The sequence below is a fragment of the Homo sapiens genome, chromosome 6, assembly GCF_000001405.40.
Source record: "Homo sapiens chromosome 6, GRCh38.p14 Primary Assembly".
NCBI lineage: Eukaryota > Metazoa > Chordata > Mammalia > Primates > Hominidae > Homo > Homo sapiens.
This window is the reverse complement of record NC_000006.12, coordinates 90,527,636-90,554,377: the sequence shown is the minus strand read 5'-3', so window position 1 is coordinate 90,554,377 and position 26,742 is coordinate 90,527,636. Positions and strand designations below refer to the sequence as shown.

General features: G+C 34.9%; 1 protein-coding gene across 5 annotated transcripts in view, besides 1 other annotated feature; it reads left to right on the top strand.

Moving 5' to 3' along the window:
- The window catches only part of MAP3K7 (mitogen-activated protein kinase kinase kinase 7), a 73,494-nt gene that overhangs the window by 32,695 nt on the left and 14,057 nt on the right, over positions 1-26,742 (top strand). For 3 of the 5 annotated variants that reach the window (NM_145332.3, NM_145331.3, XM_006715553.4), the window contains 7 exons: positions 792-920; positions 2,199-2,329; positions 3,829-3,910; positions 6,201-6,331; positions 6,991-7,120; positions 9,746-9,826; positions 17,977-18,041. In NM_145332.3, coding sequence (NP_663305.1) covers positions 792-920; positions 2,199-2,329; positions 3,829-3,910; positions 6,201-6,331; positions 6,991-7,120; positions 9,746-9,826; positions 17,977-18,041 — 749 coding nt within the window. The remainder of the gene's footprint in view (positions 1-791; positions 921-2,198; positions 2,330-3,828; positions 3,911-6,200; positions 6,332-6,990; positions 7,121-9,745; positions 9,827-17,976; positions 18,042-26,742) is intronic. The other 2 variants (NM_145333.3, NM_003188.4) reach the window with 1 other exon arrangement.
- Positions 12,842-13,042: a silencer, noted in NCBI's record as "peak5962 fragment used in MPRA reporter construct". NCBI's record gives its function as "represses an SCP1 promoter by STARR-seq MPRAs in K562 erythroleukemia cells {active_cell/tissue: K562}" and the evidence as "EXISTENCE:reporter gene assay evidence [ECO:0000049][PMID:32103011]".

Sequence of the window (26,742 nt, the reverse complement as noted above, 5' to 3'; positions counted from 1 at the left end):
TTTCGTTACTTACAACGTAATGTTTAAGTTTATAAATTAAGAATTTCCCTTCACCATATATTGAGGAAAAAACTGTAACACTAAATTAGAAAGTTCTTCTGCTTTGATAGCAGAGTAGTGCTGTCTGTCAGAGTGGGAAGAAAATTTAAGATTAAAATGTAACAGAAAGGAGGCCAGGCACAATGGCTCATGCCTGTGATCCCAGCGCCTCGGGAGGCCAGAGCAGGAGGATCAGTTGAGCCCAGGAGTTTGAGACCAGCCTGGGCAACATGGCAAGACCCCATCTCTACAAAAAATTTAAAAAATTAACCAGTTGTGCCAGCGCATGCCTGTAGCCCCAGCTACTCAGGAGGATCACTTGAGCCCAAGAGTTTGAGGCTACACTGAGCTCCAGCCTGGATGAGAGTGTGAGATCCTGTCTCAGAATAAAATAATAATAAACAACATAAAGGAATGTACAGATGTTTCATACTCTGCCCCAGAGAAAGTATCAGTCTAAATACATAAAAGTCAAGTCCTGTGCCTCTTGATGAAAAAACTGCCTCTTGATGAAAAAAGATAGAAAATAACTGAGTTTCTGAAGTAGTTTTTTAGTGTATTGTTGATACTTAATTCATTTAAAAATGTACTTGTTGAAAAGACAAAGTACTTCAGAAAGAGTAGTTTCTTAGTTCTACATGTGACAGCCTCATTTTTATCCCTGATACCCATTCTCAAAATTTAAGCCATTGTTTCTGTAAGTCATGTGGAAAAATAGTCTTTAGGTTATATACTACCTTTTTTTTTTCTAGGTAGTAATTACAGTGAAAAATGTGACGTCTTCAGCTGGGGTATTATTCTTTGGGAAGTGATAACGCGTCGGAAACCCTTTGATGAGATTGGTGGCCCAGCTTTCCGAATCATGTGGGCTGTTCATAATGGTTCGTAAAAAGAAATTTTTCTTAAAAGTACTTTTTGTGTTTTCTACTTGGAAGACTACTCCTGTCCCCTTCCCTAAAGAATATCATTTATCTCTAACATTAAAATGTACAATTCTTTGTTAAGAGACTGCTTTGCTATTATCAGACTCTGCCCTGTCCCTGCCCCAGAGTCCAGCAGAGCAGGATTGAGAGTAGTCCTGGTCTACACATGCGGCTGAGGATGTTCACTGGCTCCGCTGATTAGGGAAAGGCCATCAGTACGCAACCTAGACAGTTGGCTCTCTCTTAGGGAGAAGCATCAGGCTGGATCATGGAAAAAATAAAAAAATACATACATAAAATCTCTGACATGGTTAATATAACTGGAGAGTTATAGCCCTTTTCTCCTGAAGAAGCAAGGGCCTCATCAAGGAGAAGAAGCAAAGAATAATAATGCTTCACATATTTTTCCTGTTTATATTCTCACCCACCCTTAGAAGGTGAGTACTGTTGCCTCATTTTACAGATTAGGAAACTGAGGCCTAGAGAGGTTAAATAACTTGCTTAAGGTCACAAGATTAGTAAGTGGTAGAGCTGGGATTCAAATCCAGATGCTTCTGACTTGAATGCTCATATCTTAAGTCATATTGACTTATGGACTCAATGTCCTTGCATCTGTCCTGTTTCTTTTATAGTTCTGGTAATGTTGTTTTTAACCACATATGATGTTAGAATGCATCCTCTTCATTAGTAAAGTTACTTTACATTTGCTTGGGAAAATAGCTTTTCATGAAGGAAAATTACTTACCTTCTTAATTTTAGCGCCACTCTTAGTTATTTCATTTCTATGCCTTGTTTATAATCATGTGACTAATGGCCATTTTTTACATTATTCCACAAGTCTAAAAACAAATGTCTGCCTAATTATTTAGGTCATTCATAGATTTATCAAACAGTACCATCATCTGAGTAATCTTAGCTGTTTTTACCAGTTTCCTATACTGCCTTTAATATTACTACCATTAGTATCATTGTGGAGACTGTTCAGCATTGACCAGGACAGCTTGCTTGCTTGCTTTCTATCAGTTGTCAGTAAATAATTGAACGTCCGTGAAGTAAAGAGTAAAAGAACTAACTTGTTAATTGATAAAATTACAAAGCACTTTTATTACTCCAAATTACAGATCTTAAACTACAAGATCTATAAAATAAATACCACTTTGGAAATACGTACAAAGAGTTTGCATCATTCTTTGGGTAAATACATTCTTCCCCCCTTCCTCTCATTTTCAATTGTAGGTACTCGACCACCACTGATAAAAAATTTACCTAAGCCCATTGAGAGCCTGATGACTCGTTGTTGGTCTAAAGATCCTTCCCAGCGCCCTTCAATGGAGGAAATTGTGAAAATAATGACTCACTTGATGCGGGTATAATCCTTCTTTTGAGGGGCTTTGGATTTAGGGGAATTTAATATGTGCTGAGTTTTAATGGAATTTTAAAAGGGATGTTATTACTATATTCTGCTTTATATATTGCTATGTTTTCTAAGTGAGAATGGGCATTTATTACTCATAGTCAGAAGAGGAAACATTTCGAGAGGGAAAATCTAGTTCTTTATCACTGGAAAGATGGCTAGACTAGGTTTCTAGACTTGCTTTTTTCTTTTTGCTTACATTAGTGGACAAGTATGTTTGTCTCTGGGCCTGTTGCCTCATTTGTAATGTGGGAGAAACTGAAATAGATAGTCTCTAAAGCCATCACAGGACTTGGATATATTAATATTATGACTTCAATACATGATAAACTAAATTTTACATTTTTCTGATACCAATTTTCATCAAGCATTTAGTCATTTATGCAAGGCAATAGGTTGCATTCTCAGACACATTTATTTGAGTGACTTTTACTATTTGGCCTATTTTCAGGTTTTTATATCCCAGTAAAAAGTTAAACTTTCTTCTATTTAGAAGAACCCTTTTAAATGATTATCAAATTTTCCTAGTCTGTGAATCAAGCGCCTTTAGAATTATTTGGAATATTTTACGCCTCTGGTTTTTGGTACATTAACAAAAACTGTGAAGTGGTATCTTGGCTTTAAAAAGTTCAAATATCTATGAAAGTGCCTGAATTTTGAAACAGTTTGTTCAGTAGAAGAATCTTACAATCTCCTTAAATATAGACTAAGTAATTTCCTAAATGGTAAAACGTTGTTTATTCAATCTATTGAAAATTTCTTACGCAAAGCAGCTTGAACTAATCTACTAAAAGTTTACCATCGTATTTGGATACCAGTCATATATAGAAGCCTAGGCCTTAAAGGTGTGTGCATAAGAAAACAACTTAGTCTCTGTAGTCAGATTACTTAAAACTTTAGGATATATAAGTTATTGCAGTTGTAATTTTGCTTCTCTGTTCCTTGTCTAATTTGAGGAGAATACGTTTCCTTTTTTTCTCTAAATTCTAACATTTTTGTCCAGCAGATACTTTGAGTATTATGCCTCCAGTTTGTAGAAAGACATTCATAATCTATCCTCTTAATATTTAAAATGTTCTAACAATTATTCTATGGTATACTAGTCTCAGTCTTCAGACTAACAGTCACTGGAAGTTTACATCACTACTGTAAGAACATGAGTATGTTTTACATAATTATGAGAAATGATACTATTTTATTTCATATGTTTCTCTAGAGAAATATTTGCTGTTTTCTTCAAGACTATCTAGACTCCAATGTAAGCTAGATTCTTAGGTAGGTGCATGGCATTGATCAAAGTTGAAATCCAAGAGTACATTATTGTAATCTTTGTAAAATAAAAAACTTAGGCACCTACAAATTTAGTATATAACTTAGGGAAAATAAAACATTAATCAGGATTTAATTTGTATTAAGGAAATTTTAAGCTGTGGTTTACTTTTTTATATATAGTACTTTCCAGGAGCAGATGAGCCATTACAGTATCCTTGTCAGTATTCAGATGAAGGACAGAGCAACTCTGCCACCAGTACAGGTAAATGGATAGATTGGAAGAGTATTGACTTGATTTTTCTTTCATCTCTATTCCCATGAAATTATAATCAAGAAGTAATGAATAATGTCCCCATTTGCATTTTAATTCCTTCATTTCATATGATTGACTGCAATTTGAGTTTACAGGTGCGTCATTCTTCATGTAGGTACCCTGATTAAAGAGTTATTGAAGACCTGCTTCCAAGTCTTAGAATTCCTACATAATTATGAATAAAAAGATGGCATATTGTATTACAGTGAATGTCATTCTTAACTTGAAAAATCACTTTTACATGCATACTACTAGATCAAGTAGTATTAGAAATTATTGTAAATGTATTTAAACATTTCTTCATCACGAACACCCTAGTTTTTGTTCTCTTCTACAGAGGCTCTGATTTAAGAAGCTATGTTAAAAGTTCCTTAGTTTTCCGAAATGTGAAGTAGTAGTGGGACATGTAATTTGTGGTCATCAAAAAGATAGTAGAAATAATACTGTAACTTAGAAATATTGTACTTCTCAAAATATAGTGGCATTATAAGCATTTCATTATTAATTGAAACTTAAAGATATGTGTGTGTCTATATGCACATGTATTTACCCTGCATTTATTGAAAAATACTTTTACTGATCTATTTCTCCCACCTCAAGAATAGTTTTATTTATTTTAAGATGGTTACTGCTTGGCTAGTTATTCTCAAATTCCAGTTTTACTGAAAATATTTTGAGTTGCTCTGAATTCTAAAATGTACTTCTCTAAAATTCTATCATTTGTGTCTCCCACGTCCTCTAAACTCTCTCTTCATTTCCTTACTGTGACCTTGAATTTTTTGAGCCTCCCACCTTTTCACTGGTCCTCAGTCCTCTTAGGTCCTTTTTTCTTTCTCCCTCCACTTAATTCCAATCAACTATTATAATTCTTTTGGGAATAATTTTCATCTTTCTAGCCTCTCTCTCAAGCTTGCTTGGCTAAACCACAAGCCTAATGAAAGCTGACACTCGGCTTACTCCTTGCCTGTACCAATGCAGCTGAGTGTGGCTGGAGATAGCACAGGTTTACTATCCTCACGTGCATGTTTAGTGCTATTGGACAGTTGTACTGTATTGTAGTTCATCTCTTTCCTCCTATATGTCTTAATTTTATACTGTAGCCTCTCCTCAGACTTCAAACACCTCCTCGCCACTCCTCACTCTCAGCTGATCTTGTTTGCTCTTTCTCTGAGAAAATTGGAGTAATCGGAAGACAGCTTCCACAACATCTGTGCCCATCTACTCTGCTTTCTTCTGTTACTCTGGCTAAACTATCCATACTTCTGGCCAAAGGTGTACCTTTCTGCCTGTGCATTATATCCCATCTGCTCCTCTGAGCAATTCTCCCCTGTCTCTTGCATCATCAGTTTTAGCTTTCTACTGGATCATTCCTAAAACATACGTAGTCTGTATTTGCATTCACTAGCTTCTCTTTTCCCCTTCTTTCTTGAGCTGACTCCATTCAGACGTATTATGCCAGTACTTCAGAATTGTTCTTGTCAAGGTCACTAGTTATCTCTACATCACTACATTTAAGGAATCATTTTCATTTCTCATCTTGACTCTCAGTAGCACTTGACCTAATTCATTACTTTCTCCTTCTTACAGACAGCACTTTCTTCAGTTGGCCTCCGAGATACCATACTAGCCTAGATTCCATCTTACATCTCTGGCCGTCTGTTCTCAGTTTTCTTTGCTGGTTATTCCTCATCTCCCCAACCTAGAAATGTTGGAGTGCCCAGGGCCTGCTCATTTGGCTTCTTCACTTATCTGTCTGCACTCATTTCCTTGGTAACCTCATTCATTATTATGGCCTTATATACCATCTGTTGGCTCATAATGTTTTCCATCTTATACCTGAACTCTATACTCATATATCCAACTATTTCCTTTACATCTACTAGAAACTCAAACTTAATATTTTCCAAACTGAGTTCCTGATACTTCCTTCAAACTCACTCTTCCTTTAGTCTTTCCGCATCTCAATTAATAGCCCTCAGTTCTTCTACTAGCTCAGGTTAAAAACCTTAAGTTATTCTTGACTATTAGAAGACTATTTAGGCATCTTGGTTCCTTTTTTGTGCTATCCTTAAGTTTCTCTTAAAATGGGTTTGTTTGGATATCTTCATTAGCTTGAAAAGTCTTATTTTATTTCTGTTCCTGCCTGGCTAGTTTATAAAAGAATGTAAGTTACATAATACCAAGTGAAGCATTTGTATTATTTCCAGCCATTAGTCATAAATGTTTCTGCTTTTCCTAGGCTCATTCATGGACATTGCTTCTACAAATACGAGTAACAAAAGTGACACTAATATGGAGCAAGTTCCTGCCACAAATGATACTATTAAGCGCTTAGAATCAAAATTGTTGAAAAATCAGGCAAAGCAACAGGTTTGTTATGTTATTACAAGTAAAACTGGTAACCTTACCAGTAGTCACAATATTATACTAACTGAAATTAATTATTTACCATCTTCTATTTTATAAATCCTGAATTTTCTTCCTGAAACATGCAAAAGAGCTTACAAATAGAGACACGTAATGAGATTCTCCTACCATTTATTACCAAATGGTTTTTCCTTCTAATGATTGCTACCTTTGCCAATTCTAAATCCCTATCTATAATAATCCCTAAATGTAATGGTTGATGGTTAAAAATGTAAAATGGGTATATTTTGGCTGCGCTGCCCAGTTAGAGGAGTTGTTCTAAGTCTATCATTTCATGCTGTTCAGATTTATTATATTTTTGCCATTGTTGATTTTTAAAAATATTTCAAGGAGTGAGTTTATTCATTTTGCCTGAGGCATTTAGGTTAACGAATAATTGGGGCTTTTAGCTCCCAGTTCTAGTGACTGCCTTTTCATAAAGACAGTATCTGCAGCTTGCTTTCCCTTACCCCTGTAGCTCCCTCTCGTACAAACTTCCCTCTCCTTTCAGAGCAGAACAGGATCTATCAGAATCCCATTTGCCATCTTCCTCCTTTTAGGTTGCCTAAGATTGCTAAATCTAAAGAACTTCAGTAATTCAGATTGACCTGTAATTTTAACAGAGTGAATCTGGACGTTTAAGCTTGGGAGCCTCCCGTGGGAGCAGTGTGGAGAGCTTGCCCCCAACCTCTGAGGGCAAGAGGATGAGTGCTGACATGTCTGAAATAGAAGCTAGGATCGCCGCAACCACAGGTAAAAAGGAACTACAAGTCTGAAGAGTGAAAATGTATATAAGCCTTTTTGGCCATGGTAGTTTCAGTTGTCAAAGGTTTTTTGTGTGTGTCTTATATTTTTTTTTAAATAGGAAGTAGGTTTACAATATATTTTTCTAAGTTACTAGCAATAGTTTATGCATTTATCTCAAATTCCAAATAAGGAAGGTATGACTTGTAAAATTATTTGGATGAGAAAGTATGCCTTCCTCATTTACAGATTTTATCAAATGTAATTCTTTCTGCTCAAACATGAGTTGAAAGTCTAAGTGAGAAATTGAAATTCTGCCAAAACCAGAATATTTTGGGGATTTTCAGTGATACTACTAGATTTTTGTGCTGAACTCAAATAATAGCAAATATTTTGTTTCAAATTTAACAGAAAAATGTATTCCAGATCCATGTATGATTTGACCTTCTATCTGCTTCTTCATTCCAGTGACAAAATAATAGCTAAGCTGGTTGTGGTTAATTTTTTTAATTGTAAAATAAAATATCATAATTTTATTAGATCTTGAAAAAGCTAGCATTTAAATTCCATTGTTCAGTTCTTAAAATTATTAATCATGGAAGAACTGGTCAGCACAAAAACAATTACATGTTTTGTTACTTAAGTAAACTGACAACCTAATTCTGTGACCAGGTTTCATTTTAGTAATGCTGGTTTAATTTGGACGTTTTTGGTTTTTTGCTGATTCTTTCCAGGGATCAGGGGGAGCTGATTTTAAAAGTAAACACGTTTCTGTTGTGGAAAATGTGGAAATGTAAACAAGCCAAAAAAACTTACATAATTACCCCACTCAGAGATAAACACTTAACATTTTTGTGTATTTACCCCATCTTTTAACTATGTATGTGTATAAATGTATATATTCATGTGTATTTGCATCTTTTTTAACTTAGCTAACCAATTTTTTAGGTCTTTTTTTCACTTATTTGGTTTTTTTCTAAATAGAATATTCTCATTGTGTGTGGAGCTCTTTTCAGAAAGAAGTTGTCAAGATGGACCATCATACTATACTTGTCTTCAACTAATCATGATCATTGATTTTATCAGCTACTATTAGAATCCATTAGATATAACAGAATATCCGAAATAACAGTGTCTATAACACATAAGCATTATTTTTCACATATAAACAAGTCTGGAGGTAGTGGGCTCTGTGATCTTGAAGTAACTGGTCTCCTATTTCTGTGCTGTAATCCCTACTGTATAGCTTCCATTCTCAAAGTTATCCTGTGCTCCAAAATGGCTGTTGAAGTTCCATTTCATCACTTCTACATTCCAGGCAATAGGAAGGAAGACATGGGGGCAGGGCAAATAGACATCCAAGTTCTTTGAAGGAACATTCCCAGATGCCTCTCTTAACAACATCCACACATCATTGGTCAAAGTAACATGGTCGAATGGCTACACGTAGCTCCAAGGGAAGAGGAGATCTGCCCTCTTTTATCTGATGACTTTTCTGTCCTAAATAAAATCAGAGTACTATTGCTAAAACAGAAGGGAAGAGTGGAAACTGGCAGAAGATAGCTGTGTCTGCCACAGATGGGTCTTCAGAAACTATCAAGTTGAGTAGAAGTCACCAGCCACTGACAAGCCCATGAGTCTCCATGAGTCACAAGTATTTCTTTGGAGCAGGGTTGTCTCACTGTAGTGTCAGATGAACCCTACTCACCGGGACATACCCTCATGCTTTGAGGAACCCTTTTCACTTCAGGGATGTTGTTCAGGATAGATCTGCCACATACTAATTGCTGTCTCAAAACTGAAAATTGTTATAATAATGGTTTCATGTCTTCGCTAGTATCATATTTCTAGTCAAGCACTGGTTTTTTATTATTATTTACAGAAATGACTTTGCTAGAAGGATAACCACACACATTAAAATTTTGCCTAAGTGTAGAACAAATGCTATTGTACATCCCTTGAGTTTTACACAATTTAAATTTTTTCATGAATTGTCTTACTTGGAAAGAGTCATACTTTCCAGCCTTTTGACAGACTTTGTGTTTACTGTGAATGTACCCTAAACTTTGGAAAATATAATAAATATTTGGTACTAGAAATATGTATAAGTATGACTACAAAAGCATATACATTTCACACTTTGATTCAATAATTATTATTTAATCATTGGATTTTACTTTATAGCACACTTCAAGAAACACCTAACTTGAACATGTATTCCTGTGTTTGTGTAATTAAAACAAATACGACAACTTACTTTTTAACGCCTTTCTTCCTCTCCTCCTTCGTTCCCCCACCCCCATCACAGATCAGTGATTTCACTTAGGTAGACTGTTTCTATGAATATATTTGAAATTTTGCTTCCTCATTACCCTGCAGCTTTGTCTCTGTTCTTTTTATTTTTTTCTGCTAATTAAAACCAGTGTGTAAAACATCTTGTATTTGGTAGTTGTTTGCTCTTTAATCTCGCCTTTTCTGAGCATGGATGAAAAGTTAGGTAGTTCTGCATGCCATTCTGCATGAAATGTTATTAACATGAACTATTTGAAAATGAGTCTATTTTTGTAGTTAATCATTTTCCGTGTTACTGTTTGTGGTTGTTTGCATGTATACTGTATATATGTGTTTTTGCAGCCTATTCCAAGCCTAAACGGGGCCACCGTAAAACTGCTTCATTTGGCAACATTCTGGATGTCCCTGAGATCGTCATATCAGGTATCATAGACCACCTGAGTTGGTCTAATAGCTGTGGAACCGGAATAATGATCCCTGGTACTTGTAAAATGCTTCTTGCTCCAATTTTTACAAGACATGAAAATGGATACCTTGCATGCAGTAATTAGGGAGACAGATTGAAAAACTACATTTATTCTGAAGCAGTCTTGAAAAGATACCTCTGATCTACAATAAGTGAGGATAAAATAGAAGAGAAAGTAAACCTTTTTGGAGAAGGGAGAACACCAACCCAGAATTCTACCAACTTCCTCTCTACTTTTAAGTGAGCACATGAGCTAAACCCAGACCTTTTTTGCACCCAACAGAAAGAGGAAACAACTAATTAAAATTTGTTATTTTCCTTGGCTCCTTTCCTTCCTCAGTTACTGCTTTTTGGGTCCCCTCTAGACTTTCTGTCCTAACCTCTTTCTGTTGGTAGCAAGTGAATGTGAAGTTGAGAGAAGAGAGTTGCTAAATAGCATTTTGCCTTAACCTGGAAAACAAAAAGTAAAGCTAAATGAGATGTGCTGTTTTGCAGGGTATCTTGCCAAAGAATCATGTAAAATAGTTGGTCAATTCTGATTTTTGTGTATTATCAGGAGAATCTCATAAATTACATGTTTTTATACCTAACTTACACATGGTACTTTAGTGTCTAAAATTGGTAAACTGCTTTATTTCTTATGGTGATCATTTCATAGAGGAATATGTTACCATTTTTAATAGAAACTTAAATGGCATATTGACCTTCAGTATTGATTAATGTATTATCAAAATTATCATTTATTTATCCCTTTAGGCTTTTCTCTACCTCTTTACCCAAAATCTTGATAAGGAAATACATATTTTCCACACACGTTCATGAGTGCGAGTTGGATGAATTCTTCAGCATGCTGTCCTTTGCCTGTGATTGTGTTTTTAGCAGTGTTGATAATTCTAGTTGAATACCTAATGGTTATTTTCTCCTCTACTAAACTGAAAACTATGTAAGGATAGAATCCATATCTTTGTGCATTATTTTGTTGTTGTTGCTTATTATTGATTGTATCAGCAGTTGCTGGCTCAGTGCTTCACATATTAAGCATATTAACATAGTGTTTAATAAATACATTTATTAAATAAATGAACAGACCTATTGAGCATCTCCCCTGGTGAGAAACTAGCATACAAAAATATGAATTATACTATTCTTAGGTGCCATTTTGTCTGTATAAAACTATCTTATATTAATTTTCCCCTGGTTATCAAAGTGGTTTCTTATTTTACAACATCATTACTATTGCTATTCAAAGAGTAGAGTTAACCCATTTTTCACATGGTAATTTTTATTTATTGAATCTGGACTGCTTCAGAAATTAACAAAGAGATCATTTTACATGGAGATCAGTTTACCTCCATGCGGAAAGGTACTGTGTATAAGGGACGTACTTTAAAGAGGTGGAAGCATTTAAACTTACATACCGCTGAACTGTGCTTCCCTTAAATGTTTGAGGGAATCAGGAAAATTTAGACAGATGGCAGTGTAATCTTATGACTAAGCATTAAGAATAAATTTATATATGGCAGCGTAGCCCACGCTATACAAGATAATGGGGGAGGGAAAAATAAGGAAAGAATAATAGTTTATAACTGTCAGGTACTACTGGCATCTAGTGGGCAGAGACCAGGGATGCTGCTAAACATCCTGATGTGTACCAGGCAGTCTTCTCCAACAAAGAATGATCCAGCCCAAAATGGCAGCAGTGCTGAGGCTGAAAACCCCTGATTAGATGTTCTTTGTGCCCTACAAAGTAGCTTAAAGTACATCTTATTTTACCTTTATACAATCTTACAACTAGGTTATCGGATGAAATTATAGCTGTTTAACAGACGAAGAACTTAGATCTGATGATGTTTAGTGGTTTTTCCAGAATCATATAGCCAGGACCCCAACCCAGATCTTCTGACTCCAAGTCACATCCATTTTTTGTTCTTTTGTTTAAGTCAGAGAAGCTAGAGTAATTTCTTCTTGCTTTCTCTTAGTGTTCACATTAAGGAGAGCTCTTCAGCCAGGGAGATCCTCTTTTATGACATTGGGCCTTTATGGAATCAGGTAACCTTAATTCTCTTAATTGCCAGAGCAGCAGTGCTATTCATATGAAAATATTATTCAGTAATACCTTTTATTAAATATTCTTTTTAGGCTTTTCCCCCCTCAGATATCAAACATTAACTTACTCAGGTGCACTTTCTTTAATAGAAGAATACAAGCTGTAGAATTGACACTAGTGGACATAAAAGCCAATCATGAATGTGCTCATAGGTAATGTTTTTAAATTAAATATAAAAATACCGCCCATCCTTTGGGAATATCTCAAATTTCCTACATGACATTTTAATTGTAAAGAAGGGTGATACTTAATTTCCAAAATTTCTTAATACTTTCTAGAAATTGTTTTGTTCTAAGTGGATTTCCCACAAGCTTTATGGTATTAGCAAATACTTCTTGATATATTCAAACTGTTTAATTAGCATTAAAACCCAATTGCAAGGATTCTTTTTAAATATAGCTTTTTAAAGATCTTATTTACATGGATAAGAGTTTCGTTAATACTTCCCTTTGGCCAAGTGCAATGTACTGAGTCTAATGTACTTCTTGGAATGAACTACCTCTCTTAATAAGAGCAATCCTTCAAGCATCACAAAAAAGGTTTTGTATATATATCTTTAAAGTCACTAAAATGTCTAACCTAGTCATAGGTAAAGAAATGCAAAGACCCTAATCTTGTAATCTTGTTTTTTGCTCGCTCTTCAAAATGTGTATACTATGCCATCAGTCAAATGTGGAAGAAAAAGCAACTTAGCAAAACAGCACTATTTATCAATTTAGTAGTCTCTCAGATCATACAGAAATTAACCTTTAATACCTTAGGACTCCCTGTGGGTCAGACTGTACAATTTTTTATACCTCTTCTACCATATTACTGGCTCTGAAGAACTGACAAACTTTTGTACGGTAACCCTTCCTTCTTTCCACTGTCCATCTGCCCTTAAAAGAGTGAGCTTTATAGATTAGCCTGGCTCCTTTTTACCAAGGAAGACACGCAGCTAAGAGCAAATTACCAGTAGAGTGTGTGACATTTTGCTGACTCTTCCTTTGTAGAGAAGGTCCTGCCAAGTAGCAGTGTGCTACCTAAGCAAAGTAAATGTAAATGTGGAAGTTTCTTGCCCAGTATTTAGACCATATGAACTACAGTTTTCTAATGCATTTGCTTGCTGGTAAGTTGGAAGGGACTTCGAGAAAAGAAATAGATTTTCTTAAATGTTTTTTATTAAAACTTGAGTTTTAAAAACCATATCCTTTCTCCTTTCAGCCAGTACATCTAATTTGTTACATTTATATTTGAAGAAAAGGGAATAGGTAGCAGATTATTGGATTCTTTGAAGTTTTTCTAGATTTTTTTTGTTCTAGGACTTTAATAAGGGCAGTAAGAACACAGATCATTGTTTTGCATGGATTTTCTTTACTTTTTCCCATATTTTCTTTTTGTCACTATCTAAGCTTCCAAGAATCTATTTTTCACCCACCTTCATCTCAAGTACACAAATGAAATAGATTATTGGGATTGTGAAACTATGTAAGACATTCTAATGCAGTTCATCTGATGTTAGAAGAATACCTAAATTTTACATTTCTTTTAAAAATCCAAATGTCAAAGAGGAACAGGTAGAATGCCTAAATATTACAAAAAAAGAGGAACAACCTTTTTCAGTTTAACATGTAGAGTAAGAGAATAAGTAGTTAAGAAAGCGAATTATTTTTCATGCTTGTAGCATCAGTAATGGAAGATGGGTTGTTCTGCTCTGGAGCCTTTGTGTGAGTAGTTATAGCATTTAAGGAAATAAACTGTAATTATAATGCATTCTAAAATCTACTGGAAAAAAATACTGTCATATACATATATACTTACCACCTATAAAAGATTTAATTAAACATTAGTCTTCTGCACTTCTACTCTGATATAAAATTTGTTGTACATGGTTCATACCGGCTTGATTGCTTTTATAAAGTGAAATGAGTTTCCCAAATGTGATATGCAAAAGTAAAATTTTCTAAATTACAGACATTTTTAATGCTATTATATCATCATAGATAAATTTATTTCTTAGTTCAGATTAGATTATAATGCTTGATTTCAAGTACTTGAAAACCATCCATTCTATAGATGAACATTGCCTTGAAGTGCTTCAATTTGAGAACCTTGAACAGTGTTGCTTTAGTGTACCTTTTGTTATTTCTAAGCCTAAAATAATATGGCATAACATTCGAGAGCAATAAAATGCCTTGACCAAAGAGGATTTTCTGTCTTACATACTGTTCTTAAGGATATGCAAAAGAAGATTGAATATACAAATGTTTTTGAGTCAGATCTTACTGAAATAGATAAGATTTTTGCCTAGTTTCCTGAAGAACCTGAACTTAATTGATATTTATTGTTTGTTATATCATTCTTAAAGCTAAAAAGAAACCTTAGGTGTCCTTATGATTTCAGCCGCATTTAGATCTCTTAACTGAATAAAAAACGCGTATTCGCTTTTAATTTCAGTCAAGGACGTTTAGCTCTATTGTATATTGGTTTTTTACTAACAGTATGATAAGTAGTAAATTGGAGTAAGTAGAATGTAGAGAGGCCCAAACATTTTAACTGAAAAATAGATGAGTAGTTAGGCTTCTAATACTTGTATCTTGTTGCCCTCCTTCAGAAGTTTCAAATGTCAGGTATTGGCAAATAAATTATCTAGGTGGGGAGGGCTTTATAGAATGCTTAAACAACTGGAAGCAGAGATGCTTTTCAAGGACACCTGAGCACTATTTTGCTTTCTCCACCAGGATGAAAATATCACTTTTTTAATAGTATATTTGGTTCAAGAGCCGGTCGGTAACTAATGTTTGTAAACCTTTCTTTAACTGGAAGCATGTAAGTTATTAAATATTTCCTCCAGACTACTGCAGCACCAATATGAAGAGGCAAAGAGAGAAAGAATTGAGTTTTTCTAGATCTGGCAAGTTCTCACCTAGCACAGATAGTGTCATTAGCAGATGTAAGCCTTTGATAGGGATCCTAGGGCTAAGGGGTGCTATACTAAGATGTACTGTACTAGTTTCTGTGTATAGCCACCTCACTTTCAATAAAATTCTCTATTTGTGGCATATTAAATAGGGAAGTTAATCTAACTTTATAATGAATATTTAGGTGGCCTTTCTGCCATATTGTATAGTCTACCAAGATCACTTTTTGTAATCTAAAAAATTCAACTCTAAGCTAATAAAGCTGGTTTATTGGAAAGCAAATAAACCACCTGACGGACCTTTCCAGTGAAAGAGCCAGAATTTGTTAAAATTAGTAAAGAAATACGAAACTTTGGCAGCCTAAATTAGAACATATATTTTAAAATTACATGTTCAGTTTACCATGAAGCAGTAATGTAATGCTAGTGTATCATGCTATGCATTTTTTTAAATCTTGGGTATTTTACACATGAAGAGAATGGTGTCCCATAATGTGTAATATTCAAAACTCGTGAATCTCAAAATTTCTAACATTTAGGTTAAGAGAAGTCTCCAGGAAAATGTAGTGTTGATTCTTACATGAAGACAGTCTTCAGGAAGTTTTAAAGTAGAAAATAAGAGTAGTGTAAGTCAAGGAAAACTATGAGCTTAACTGATAAGAAAAATTACAGGAGTGGCTGTCTGGGACCTAAGCCAGCAGTCTCTGGAAGAAACCCGGGATAACTTTTAAATACCAGCTCAGGAAATCAGTTGTACTTAAAAGAGCAGCTTTTTTGAAGAGGGGCTCTGTTTTAATGACATTACTGTAAAAAGAATGGAACTGACCCCTAAGTTGCTTTCTATTTGCGGTGGGCAGGAGTGCAGATTTAGTATGCACTGGCAATGTGATGTATTCTTAGAAGTCATTCTAAAAAGTGGAATTTGTTCTCTATTATAAGACATGAACGTTCCAGAATTCATTACAGAATGAAATACTCAGGATAGCATATGCAGGTTTCAGATTCCTTGATCAGGCATCTGTTTACATCATGCTGTCCTCATTTCTACTACTTTTTCCATTTACACTACCATGTATAATATAGGTATGTACATATCAAAGGACCAAAAAAGGTAAAATGAGTGAATGTCTAAATTAGTATTCAGTTGCAAAAAACTTCAGAATCAATTCAAATTTACTGAGAACACACCCAGTAATTTTCATTTGAAGTAATAGGAGGTTGATTTTTCTTACATTCATATTTCTAAATTATGACTTAAAATTTAATATTGGAGCAACAAGTATTTGTTGATTGCAATCCTGTTTTGCTTTGTCTGAACTATCTGCCAGATGGTTTCTGCCATGGTTGTGCTAATTAAAATGCATTGCCTAATACTGCTTGCTTTGATTCATGCAGTAGCTTAAAGATTTCTCATTTTATGGCATTTGTTAACTGTCAGCTCTTCTTTACCTTACTTCCTTAAAAGGTTTTACTTCCCTTTTCTCCTATCCTTCCACCTAAATTTAAGTTCAGTTTTTGTTGTTATTGCAATGGTGATGTAATGGTTTATAGACACATGTGTCGGGTGGTTCCTCAGATTAACAAATGTTGCTGTGTTGCTAATCTGAAAAGAGAATTCCAGACACTTTTACAAGCCTGTCTCATCACCGCTAATTTTAGAATGAATGTGTTGAATGAAATGTGCCTAAAATTGCTTATTAGTCACGGTTGTGGGGATCCTTTTTGTCCTTGGGAAACAGGGGTAGTTGAAAGTATTCAGAAAAGTAATCTAGTGGATCTAATTCAATAAATGCACAGTTTTGTTGTTTTAGTTTGTAATGAAAAGTTGAAATTTTTGGAATAAAATGAAATTTGAAGTAAATGTGAATTCAGATAATGCAAAGAATTATAAAACGTAGCTTAAAATGGAAAAAAACTGATGATGTCTTACATTTGCAAGAGGAGTTACAAATTTGAGTTTTTATATTCACTACACATATTATTCTATTAAACATTCTTATTCCATTGTAAGGTCCTTTTAGTTTATCTGCAGCATAATAATGGGGTCATGTGGGTTAAGGTGCTAAATTATATTGCTGATTGGTTTTAAAAGGATGTCTCTACGAAAGATTCTGGAAGTCTAAAATTTTAAGAATGAATTCTGTCTACTAATCGGGAAACTACAATTAGAGTGAGTACATGTTCTAAGTGTTGCCCACTAGTTGAGAAATTACGTAATACAGATTTCAGAGTCAAAAGAATTTTGAGTATTGTATCAGCTGTTACTCAGTATTTTGGTGTTTCCTTTTAGACAGCTGATCTCTCACGTTAGAAGATACTGCATAAACAGCTTTATTCCCAAATAAAAGTGCTGAGTGAAGCCATTGCTCAATTCATTGTTTTGCTGAGGACTTATATGTGTAGAATTCTCTCATAAATTGATTTTTAATTAAATTAATTATAAACATAGAAGTTTCTAAAGCAGAATTAACACAATAGCCCATTTCAACAAGCTGTATATTTGAGAACAGAGTGACAGTTATTAACATCCAGTAGGAAATTAAGAGTTGTTGTTCACAAATAATAAATTACTAGATTCTGACAAAGACTAATGGGGATTAAGTAAGCGTGACTCAATATAACAAATTTAAGCCTAAGCATCTTCTAGGCCCTGAAATGAACAAGGTATTGCTGCCAGTTAAAGTCAGTTGTGTCTTACAACCTGCTAGCTGTCTTGCTGTAAAAACTGTAACGTAAGGCCCTTGAAATAGATGCCGTCATCAGCCCCAGCCCCCAAGCATTCATCTATTTAAACACATGACAGAAGATGGTGGAAGAGAGTTCAGCAGCTATTCATGTGGTAGAAGTGGTTATTGTATTAGGACATACTCTGTTGTAGGCCAGCAACTTTTGAGTTAAAACACCGCAGCTGTTTCTCTTCCTTTCTTTACATCTTTCTCTTCTTTTTTTTTTTTCTTAGCAATAAACTCACTTTTTTTTCCCCACAAACATTTTGTGTAGATCCAAGGAGCAACAAATTCCAACTTTCTGCTGTAGCAATTACACGCTTTTTGTCTGTTTGACTAGATTTTAGTATTTTACTTTTTTTCTTCTTTTTAAAGGCAACGGACAGCCAAGACGTAGATCCATCCAAGACTTGACTGTAACTGGAACAGAACCTGGTCAGGTAAGACAACATTCAAATTTTCTATCTTTGAAGAATACTAGGCAGAAAACAAGAATTAACTGTATTCTACTCTGCAAAATTAGTTTTATGAGTTGACCTAAAGTTGTGATAGAGAAATTCATTGCACCTGAACTTAAATACTTAGGGGGGAAAAAAACATAGGTGCCATTGTTAATTTAACTTGAAAGATAATTTATTAAAGTAGGTTTATTAAACTCCATGGAAAAGTAAATTGTTCATTAGCGCTGTATATATGTTATATGGTTTTATGTATGTTTTAATAAGTATTCAATTTTATAATTTAACAATTTATCATTAAAGTGTCCTTTAAAGTGAATCATTAATATGTCTCCTTTTTACTAATAAGGGTAGTAAACATTTCCCCAATAAGTTGCTACTCCTCTAGCGCCACGTAGGGCATTACATGGAGAACTCTAACGTCTTTTAACTTGGCATATCCACTGGATTAATATTTTTTTCAAATATCCTTAAGATAACATTTACTAAGCAAATGTGTAAACTCTCGAAAGGCTTCTATTCCAGTGGTTAAGATTTCATTGTTTATATTTCTGGATCCTCCTCTAAACTCTCCTTGTCTCTTTATCACTGCTGCTTTGCAGATGATGCAGACAGTGTTATAATTTAAGCCATTACTGATTAGTGCAGAGTTTTAACCCACCAGGTATATAAAAGTAGCTCAGTCATTGTTTTTTCTGTGTTACTCAGATTAATACACTTGACATATATAATTTATTATATACTATATTCTGTAAAATGAATGAAGATTAATTATAAGGTGTTTGTTTTCAGCTGTACAAGAATAAGTTTTATGAGAGCAGCATAAAAGTAATGAAATTAAGTAATGAAATTGTTACATATTAAGAAGTATTAAGTATTAAATTATTAAGTATTAAGTAATGAAATTATTACATCGTGACCCATATTTTTGTAAAATTTTAGCGTTTATATATTATAAACAATCTGTTGTAATTTATGATAATATGTATTAGTACTTGTCATCCTAAAAAGGTATTTTATTATTATATCATTTGTATAATATACTTAAAATTTGGGAGATCCTTTGTAGTCATTAATAAAAAAGTCTTTTATACCCATCAACCAACTTACCAAAAACCACTTCAAATATTTAAGTGGTGAATATCCTTGATCTTCATTTATATCTGGAAATATGTTTATTTCACAAAATGCTTATAAACACATATATAAATAAAATCTATATAGACACATTAATTTATTATGTTTTGTGATACTAGTGACTCTAAATCTTGATTTCATTATTTAGTGATAGTTTTTTTCAGTGCATCTGTTTTTGTAAGACCCCAGAACTTTTGGCTGAAGTTTCCCGTTTTCTCCCCCTCAGATACTTAAAAGTTTTAATCAGCCCATTTAGTAACAGATAGTTTGACATCTGCTATTTGCTTTGATTCTTTGGAGGTTTGATGAGCTCAGCCTTTTAAACTCTGTTTACTATTGCCACTGATATTCCAGTTATGAGAACTTCTAGCCAACTGTTTGACTAGGAATGAGAAGCTTGTCCTAAGACATGTCAGGAGCAGCTACTAGTTTGAAAGCTTTTCTGTAGACTCTAGAATAAAAGTGTTGCCATAATTCAGGACTGATCTTCCCACACCAAGTCTTACTTATTTCTTCACAAGTTCCACATTATTTGAGATTTTCGTTGTTACCCTTTTAATTCACAATACCTTCAGGTAGTAAAACGCTGGAACTGAGGCCAACTATGGGTGTGGGACAGTCATTTGTGGAATTGTCATAGACCACTCTGAAAGATTTGGGGTGAGGGAGAGTTTGATATGGGTGAGGGAGAGTTTGATATGGCAGTAAAACCTGTTCTGAAACAGGTGATGTATGACCATTGTGTAGCCACATTTTAAAACTGATCCACTCTTTCAAAATTATTTGTGTTATAGCCTTAAAATGCCTAATGTTCAGCTTGGCATGAGAGTGGCAAATACTAATCCTAATGTACTATGAAAACATTTCTCCCAAAAAATGTATGATAAGTGACCATTAAATCTTTTAAATTACTCACAAAGATGATATTCATTTGAGGAAGAAAAGTATTCACAATATGTGTTTTCAAAATTGGAAGGTGCCATCCTTTTTGAAGTCTGGCTAAGCGTGATTCCATCTTGCAGAGGAAAGTAAACTTATTGTACTGTGGCTCTTGACTCAAAACATAATCTTAGTAAAACCACTTAGAATTTCCATCTGTAAACTAAAATTAAATTGGTTGTTTTTCTGCTGCCATCCATTTGAGAGGAACAGTAAATGAAGCAAGCTTCTTAATTAAAAGTAATGATATAAGTATAGGTGTAAAAGATTGCATTCTTACAACATACAACTCACTTTCAAACATGGTTTTTTCATTAATTCAGGAAGCTTTTTAAACACTCAATAGATGTGACTTCCTAGAAGCTTTGAAAAGATACTGAGAAAGAAAAAAGCAGTCCCTGACATCCAGGAACTGGTTTGACACTGTGGCCTCACTGTTGTTAGTAGCTAGCCTTATTCTCAACGGCTGGCTGTCACAGCTAGAGCATGTTACTGTCTTATTGGACATAATCTCTCAGAACACCAATATCAGACAAGATAATGCTGAGACCGTGATAAAAGGAGACAAAACAAGACTACTTCGGAATGTTTTCTAAGCACAGACAAAAACAAGGTCACTGTGCCACCCACAAAATACCTAACATTGTCCTCTCCCAGCTATTAAGAGTGACTGCTGCTTCTTTACCAATTACAGCTTGGTCCTCACTCTGGACTGCCCTCCCTGTGGAATTGCCCTTGCTTTCTGACAGCGGCCAATCTGGAACGAACCCCTCCTTCCTTTGAGTTTCCCCAAAATCACTCAACCAAAGCCTAAATCCTATAATACTTTCTTTTTCTAAAACCCTCTTACTGAGACACCCCATGCTGCCCCATGGTAAGCATTCTCCTTCACTGCAATAAATATTAAACCCAACTCTTTCCACTATTGGTGTGTTCCTGGCAGTCTTTGGCTAGAGGGCTTTGACAATACCAATAAAGCCTATTCCGCAAGGACCTCATTTGGAGAGATCAGACTTATGCCCAAATCAATTAGAAAACTAAAGTAATAACAGCTTCCATTTGTTGTGCACTGACTTTGTGCCAGATAGGCTCTTAGTATACATTATCAGAATGTTAATCCTGTTATCAGGATCTTAGTCCTGTGAAGTTGGTACTTTTTCACCTAATTTGCAGCCAGGTAAAGTGAGGATGAGAGAAACTGACCTAAGTCTCTTACTTCCTTATACTGCCAGTAATTCCTATAACCAGGTTTTGAATCCAGACCTGATTGCAAAGCACACAAACTCTATACTTTAATCATTCTAACTTGCATGTGAAACTAGATGTGATGCATGCTGTTATAGCCCTAGATCTCTTACATTTAGGTATTTTGGCTTCTAATAGTCTGCATTGTCATTAATTATTTAAACAGTTGTTAAGTGATGATGAATTGTAGCTGTATCATATCATTGAACAAGGTTAACCTATCTTGATAATAAATTTCTACCAATGACTGCACAAATTTATGTTTTATACACCTGGGTGAGCCATTCTGTGTTTCACTAAAACAATATACATTCTTATAAATGCCTGAATACCCCTTCTGGAATTGTATTCAGTATAGATCTATATTCAAGAATTCTCTTAGAGGAGGCTGCAGTCAGTGAAAATTACGACTGCAAGATGATACAGTTATGATTATTTAGAGAAGTGGGCATATTACATTTCCATATGGACTTTATAATCTACTTTTACTAGTCAAATATGTGACTTTGGGCAAGTTCCTTAATTTCCCTGAGCTTCTGCACCCTTATCTGCAAATAGGGACCATAACACCCACCTCCCAGAGTTCTTAACAGATGTGAAAGTGCCAGGGCACACAGTAGATACTAATCCATGTTGTATGCCAGCCTCTCCACAGTGTGCCTCACCGGGCTCTTGATATCACTTCCTTGCTCTCATGATAGTGAGAAATAAAAAGAAAATAGCACTTGGAAAGAAGTAAAATCCACCAGCGTTCTTTCTGTATCATAAGGAAACCTTGTGTCAAGGATCATGGAAAGTATTTGCTTTAAAGGTCTCTTATCGCATATTGAGTGATATTAATATACATTGTTATTATTTATTTAAGGGATGTGATTTATTATACTACTTTTTTCCATCTTCATTCTGCACCTCCTTTTGTGTAAACAAATGTTCTGGTAAACTCTAAATCAGAAACTTATGTAATAGTTTTGAATAATTCCTTCTTCATAGTATACCTTTCTATTGGAGAATAGACACGTTTCTTCTTTTTTTTTTTTTTTTCCGAGACACAGTCCCCGCTGTCAGCCAGGCTGGAGTGCAGTAGTGTGATCTCCGCTCATTGCAACCTCTGCCTCCTGAGTTCAAGTGATTCTTCCACCTCAGCCTCCCGAGTAGCTGGGATTACAGGCATGTGCCACCACACCTGGCTAATTTTTGTTTTATTTTTAGTGGAGGCAGGGTTTCACCCTGTTGCCCAGGCTGGTCTCGAACTTCTGGCCTCAAGCGATCTGCCCGCCTCAGCCTCCCAAAGTGCTAGGATTACAGTCGTGAGCCACTATGCCTGGCCTCTGTTGGAGAACAGACACCTTTCTATTGTAGAAGACCATGTAAGAATAATAAAATTCTGAAATTTCCTTATGAAAAACTGTAGTGAAGCCAAAATAGATCAAGCCTACAGACCTTTAGATTAGAAAGAATATTTTCAGTACAACCTTCATGTATAGATTTAATTATCTGTAACTACCATAATAAGTACCCATGTAAATCCACATTACCAACTTATACCCATTTTAAAAATATTTATATTATTGAGATGTTACTTTAGCAAGAATATCATAGAAGTCATCATTTAATCTCTGTGTTTTGTGCTTGTATAATTTTAGCTACTAAGATTTCTGAGGGTATTAAATAGCTTTTAAATGTCAGTCTAAATAATAACACTGGGTGTAAATTCCTGACTTATGAAAATATTTTCCCAGTCTTTCAGGTAAGATATTAAAAGCTGAGCTTTATTTTTGTCTGTAAAATAACTTCCAATTCCTTTTTATAAATATAGGGATAAATTTCTGGTCAAAGGCCAATTCTGGTTCATGTCTACTGATGGTAATCTGCCCCTGAGGTTTAAATTTGGCTTAGTATTCTTTTGCTGCCTTAAATTGCTGTGTCACGTTTCTATACTCTTGTGACTTTCATATCCAGTTCTTTTGGTAAGTCAAGTTTGCCTATATCTCTTAAACTTTGCAATTAATGTGGGGATAGAATAAGTAATTTTAAATGTCTTAGAGGAAGGAGCAACTTAAATGAGTTTTAATAGTTTGAGAGCATTTGTGACCCTCAGAATTTTACCAGTGATTTTAAAAAATAAGTACTGTAAAAACTTCTTCAGTAGTTGGTTACAAGCAGTAACATAAATTCAGCCACAAACTAGTTTGAGTTTTTTCATTGATTGTCAGATGTTATGTGTTCCTCTTATTTATGCCTTGTATTATTCACATACTCAAAAACTACAGTTATGCCTTGTTTTTAAATATTTCCTTAGTTTTTTTATACAAACATATTAGCATATTTTTATTTATTGAGATACACATTTCTTAAAATATAAAGATTTATTTATTAGTTAATGGATTTAAATCTAACTGTGCTGGTCTAAAAACAGTTTTGAAACTTGCATTAAAAGTGCAAGCCTTATATTTCTTAGTTTCATAGCTGTTGGAAATTACAAGTGGGACAAACAAGCATGCACAGAAGGTGCTAAGAGTTTCTTGGAAAGTAGAAGGTGAAAAGAAAGGTGTAGCAAAGAATCATTTTGCAAAAGATTTAAGCTTAAGGAGTACTATAAAATTCCTATTAGGTCCAACTTATTTGTTTTAATATTGCAGATGTTCAGTGACCTCTTTTTTAAATATACTAAATCCATTCTCATTTTAAAAACCTAATTATTACTTCTACTGTATTTTGTTGATTTCTCACAACTGATACTGATTCTTACATGTCACAAACATGTGTTTCTCTTTTTAAAATGTGCATTAGCATTACACTGACTCTGAAACCCTGGTCTGCCACCACTTTGAAGGAAAAATGCCTTTGATTTATAATAGCAGTTATAACTATGGGCATATTTGTGTACTTGCTTTCAGTCAAAGAAAGTTAAAAAGACTCAGGAATAATTTCATAATGTCTATACTTGCTTTGTCAAGGGTAAAAGTATCCTAAAAGTAAGAGTGAAACATTTCATCACTGGTTTTCTTTGGTGTATGTCGTTGTTATTCTTATATACTAAAGGTAAATAAGCTTAAGCACCAATCTTGTATCTGAGTGCTAATAGCTTGTGTTCTCATTTTATTCAATGAGTATCTATTATGTGTTTATTATATATTCAGCAATTTCCCAGATCCTGGGAAGTACAATATAAAAAGTACGCATGGTCTCTGCCCTTAAGAGGTTATAATACTTTTGAAGAGGAGTAAAACTTTGAGACTACTATAATTTCGGGCACAAGTTGAAGTAGGAACTGACTATACAGCCAAAATTCAAAGAAGAAAAAAATCTCGTGTGAAGACATTTCATGTACATCATTTCATTTAATTTTTATAACCTTATAGATAGATAATACTGTCCTTATTTTCCTATTGAGTCTTAGAGGTTAAATAAGTTACCCAAAGCTGTACTAGTTAGAAATGGCAGAGCACAGTCAAACTCTGGGCTGTCTTGTCTCCAACACCCAACTTCTTACTGCTACTACTTTTTCTCATTCACACTTCATCAATGAGAAACCTAAGTCTCAGAGAGGCTAAGTTACTTACACAGGTTCACACAGCTGTAAGTGGCAGAATGGAGACATAACCCCAGGTCTCCAAAGTATTAGACTGAAACATGTGAAGTTGCTGAGTTTTCAACTACAAAAACACCAGTTTTATCTGGTTCAGTTTTATGCATGCCCTGTGCACTACGCCGTATTATCTTTAGGTGAATATGAGGTCAGGATTAAAAACTGCAAGGGAAACAGGGGCATGAGGAATTTTAAGAGGAGAGAAAATCCAGATGGGCAAGGTAAACCTGCTGATGGAGAGTCATGAATGCCAGAGTGAGAATTTCAGAATTGATTCAGTAACAATCAGTAAACGAACATTTTGCCTGCAGTACACTGTTAGGCACTCCATGTCCTCAAACACAAGGTCTGGCCTTGTACACAAACAACCAGAGAAGTGGCAAGAATCACCACATAATGTAGAAGAAAACCTGAGCTGGGCCTTACAGGGTGGGGAAGGATTAACAAGGAGAAGAAAAGAACAGAATGAGCAATCTTATATGGAGTTAAAAATTGGTTATGGTGTAGAAAAGCTTTTTGGAATTTCTGAAGCAATTTCAGTGGGTACCCAAAATGAAAGTCATATTTCATCAGTTTTTCTTCAAAGTTAATTTATGATTTTTTTCTCTGAAATTGTTAGGAAAGTACCTTTCACTAAAAGTATAATTAGATTGTTTGTAACACAAAGGATAAATGCTTGAGGGAATGGGTACCCCATTTTTCATGATGTGATTATTATGCATTGCATGCCTGTGTCAAAACATCTCATGTGCCCCATAAATATGTACCTACTATGTACACACAAAAATTAAAAATTATTTTTAAAAAAACAGAAATGAGAGGAAAACAAAGTACCTGTCACTGTTTATTATCCTGAATCCATTGTGGCTTTTCAAGACCTAAAATCATATAATTTTAGCACTATATGGAACACTTCTCATCACATTCTTAACCCAGCCCCAACCCCTCTCCAGATAAAGAGAGGTTGAAGTGATCTGAAGCAGACATTACAGCATAATTAGAACTCACATACGATGGATTCTACTCAAAGGTACTTTTGTATTGCATTTCATTTTACTTGTTGCAGTCTTGAATTTGAGTGTTTGTATATATGTTGAAGCTAGATATAAGATTCTTCATGAATTTATTTTAAGTTTTATTTTCTATAACTCCATGTTCTTTTTTAAGTCTCTTCTTTGGTACTCAGTAACACATCAAGAAAAAAAAGGTGCTTTTTAAAAAGTCCTTATGAGGCCGGGCGCGGTGGCTCACGCCTGTAATCCCAGCACTTTGGGAGGCCGAGGCGGGCGGATCACGAGGTCAGGAGATCGAGACCATTCTGGCTAACACGGTGAAACCCCGTCTCTACTAAAAATACAAAAAATTAGCCGGGCGTGGTAGCGGGCGCCTGTAGTCCCAGCTACTCGGGAGGCTGAGGCAGGAGAATGGCGTGAACCCGGGAGGCGGAGCTTGCAGTGAGCCGAGATCGCGCCACTGCACTCCAGCCTGGGCGACAGAGCGAGACTCCGTCTCAAAAAAAAAAAAAAAAAAAAAAAAAAAAAAGTCCTTATGAAACCCATTTTAGTTTCTGTGTCCTTTGAAAGGCTTTAATATATGAAATATAAATATGTAGACAAGAATGTATATAATGTATAAGTTATGAAAATAAAATGAGCACTTGTGAACCCACCACCCAGCTTAAGGAATGGAACATTAGCAATCCCAGTGGGGGTTGGTCCCTGTGTGTTCCTCGCCTGTGGCCTTCCCTGTCATTTCCCCACCAACCCTCAGTGC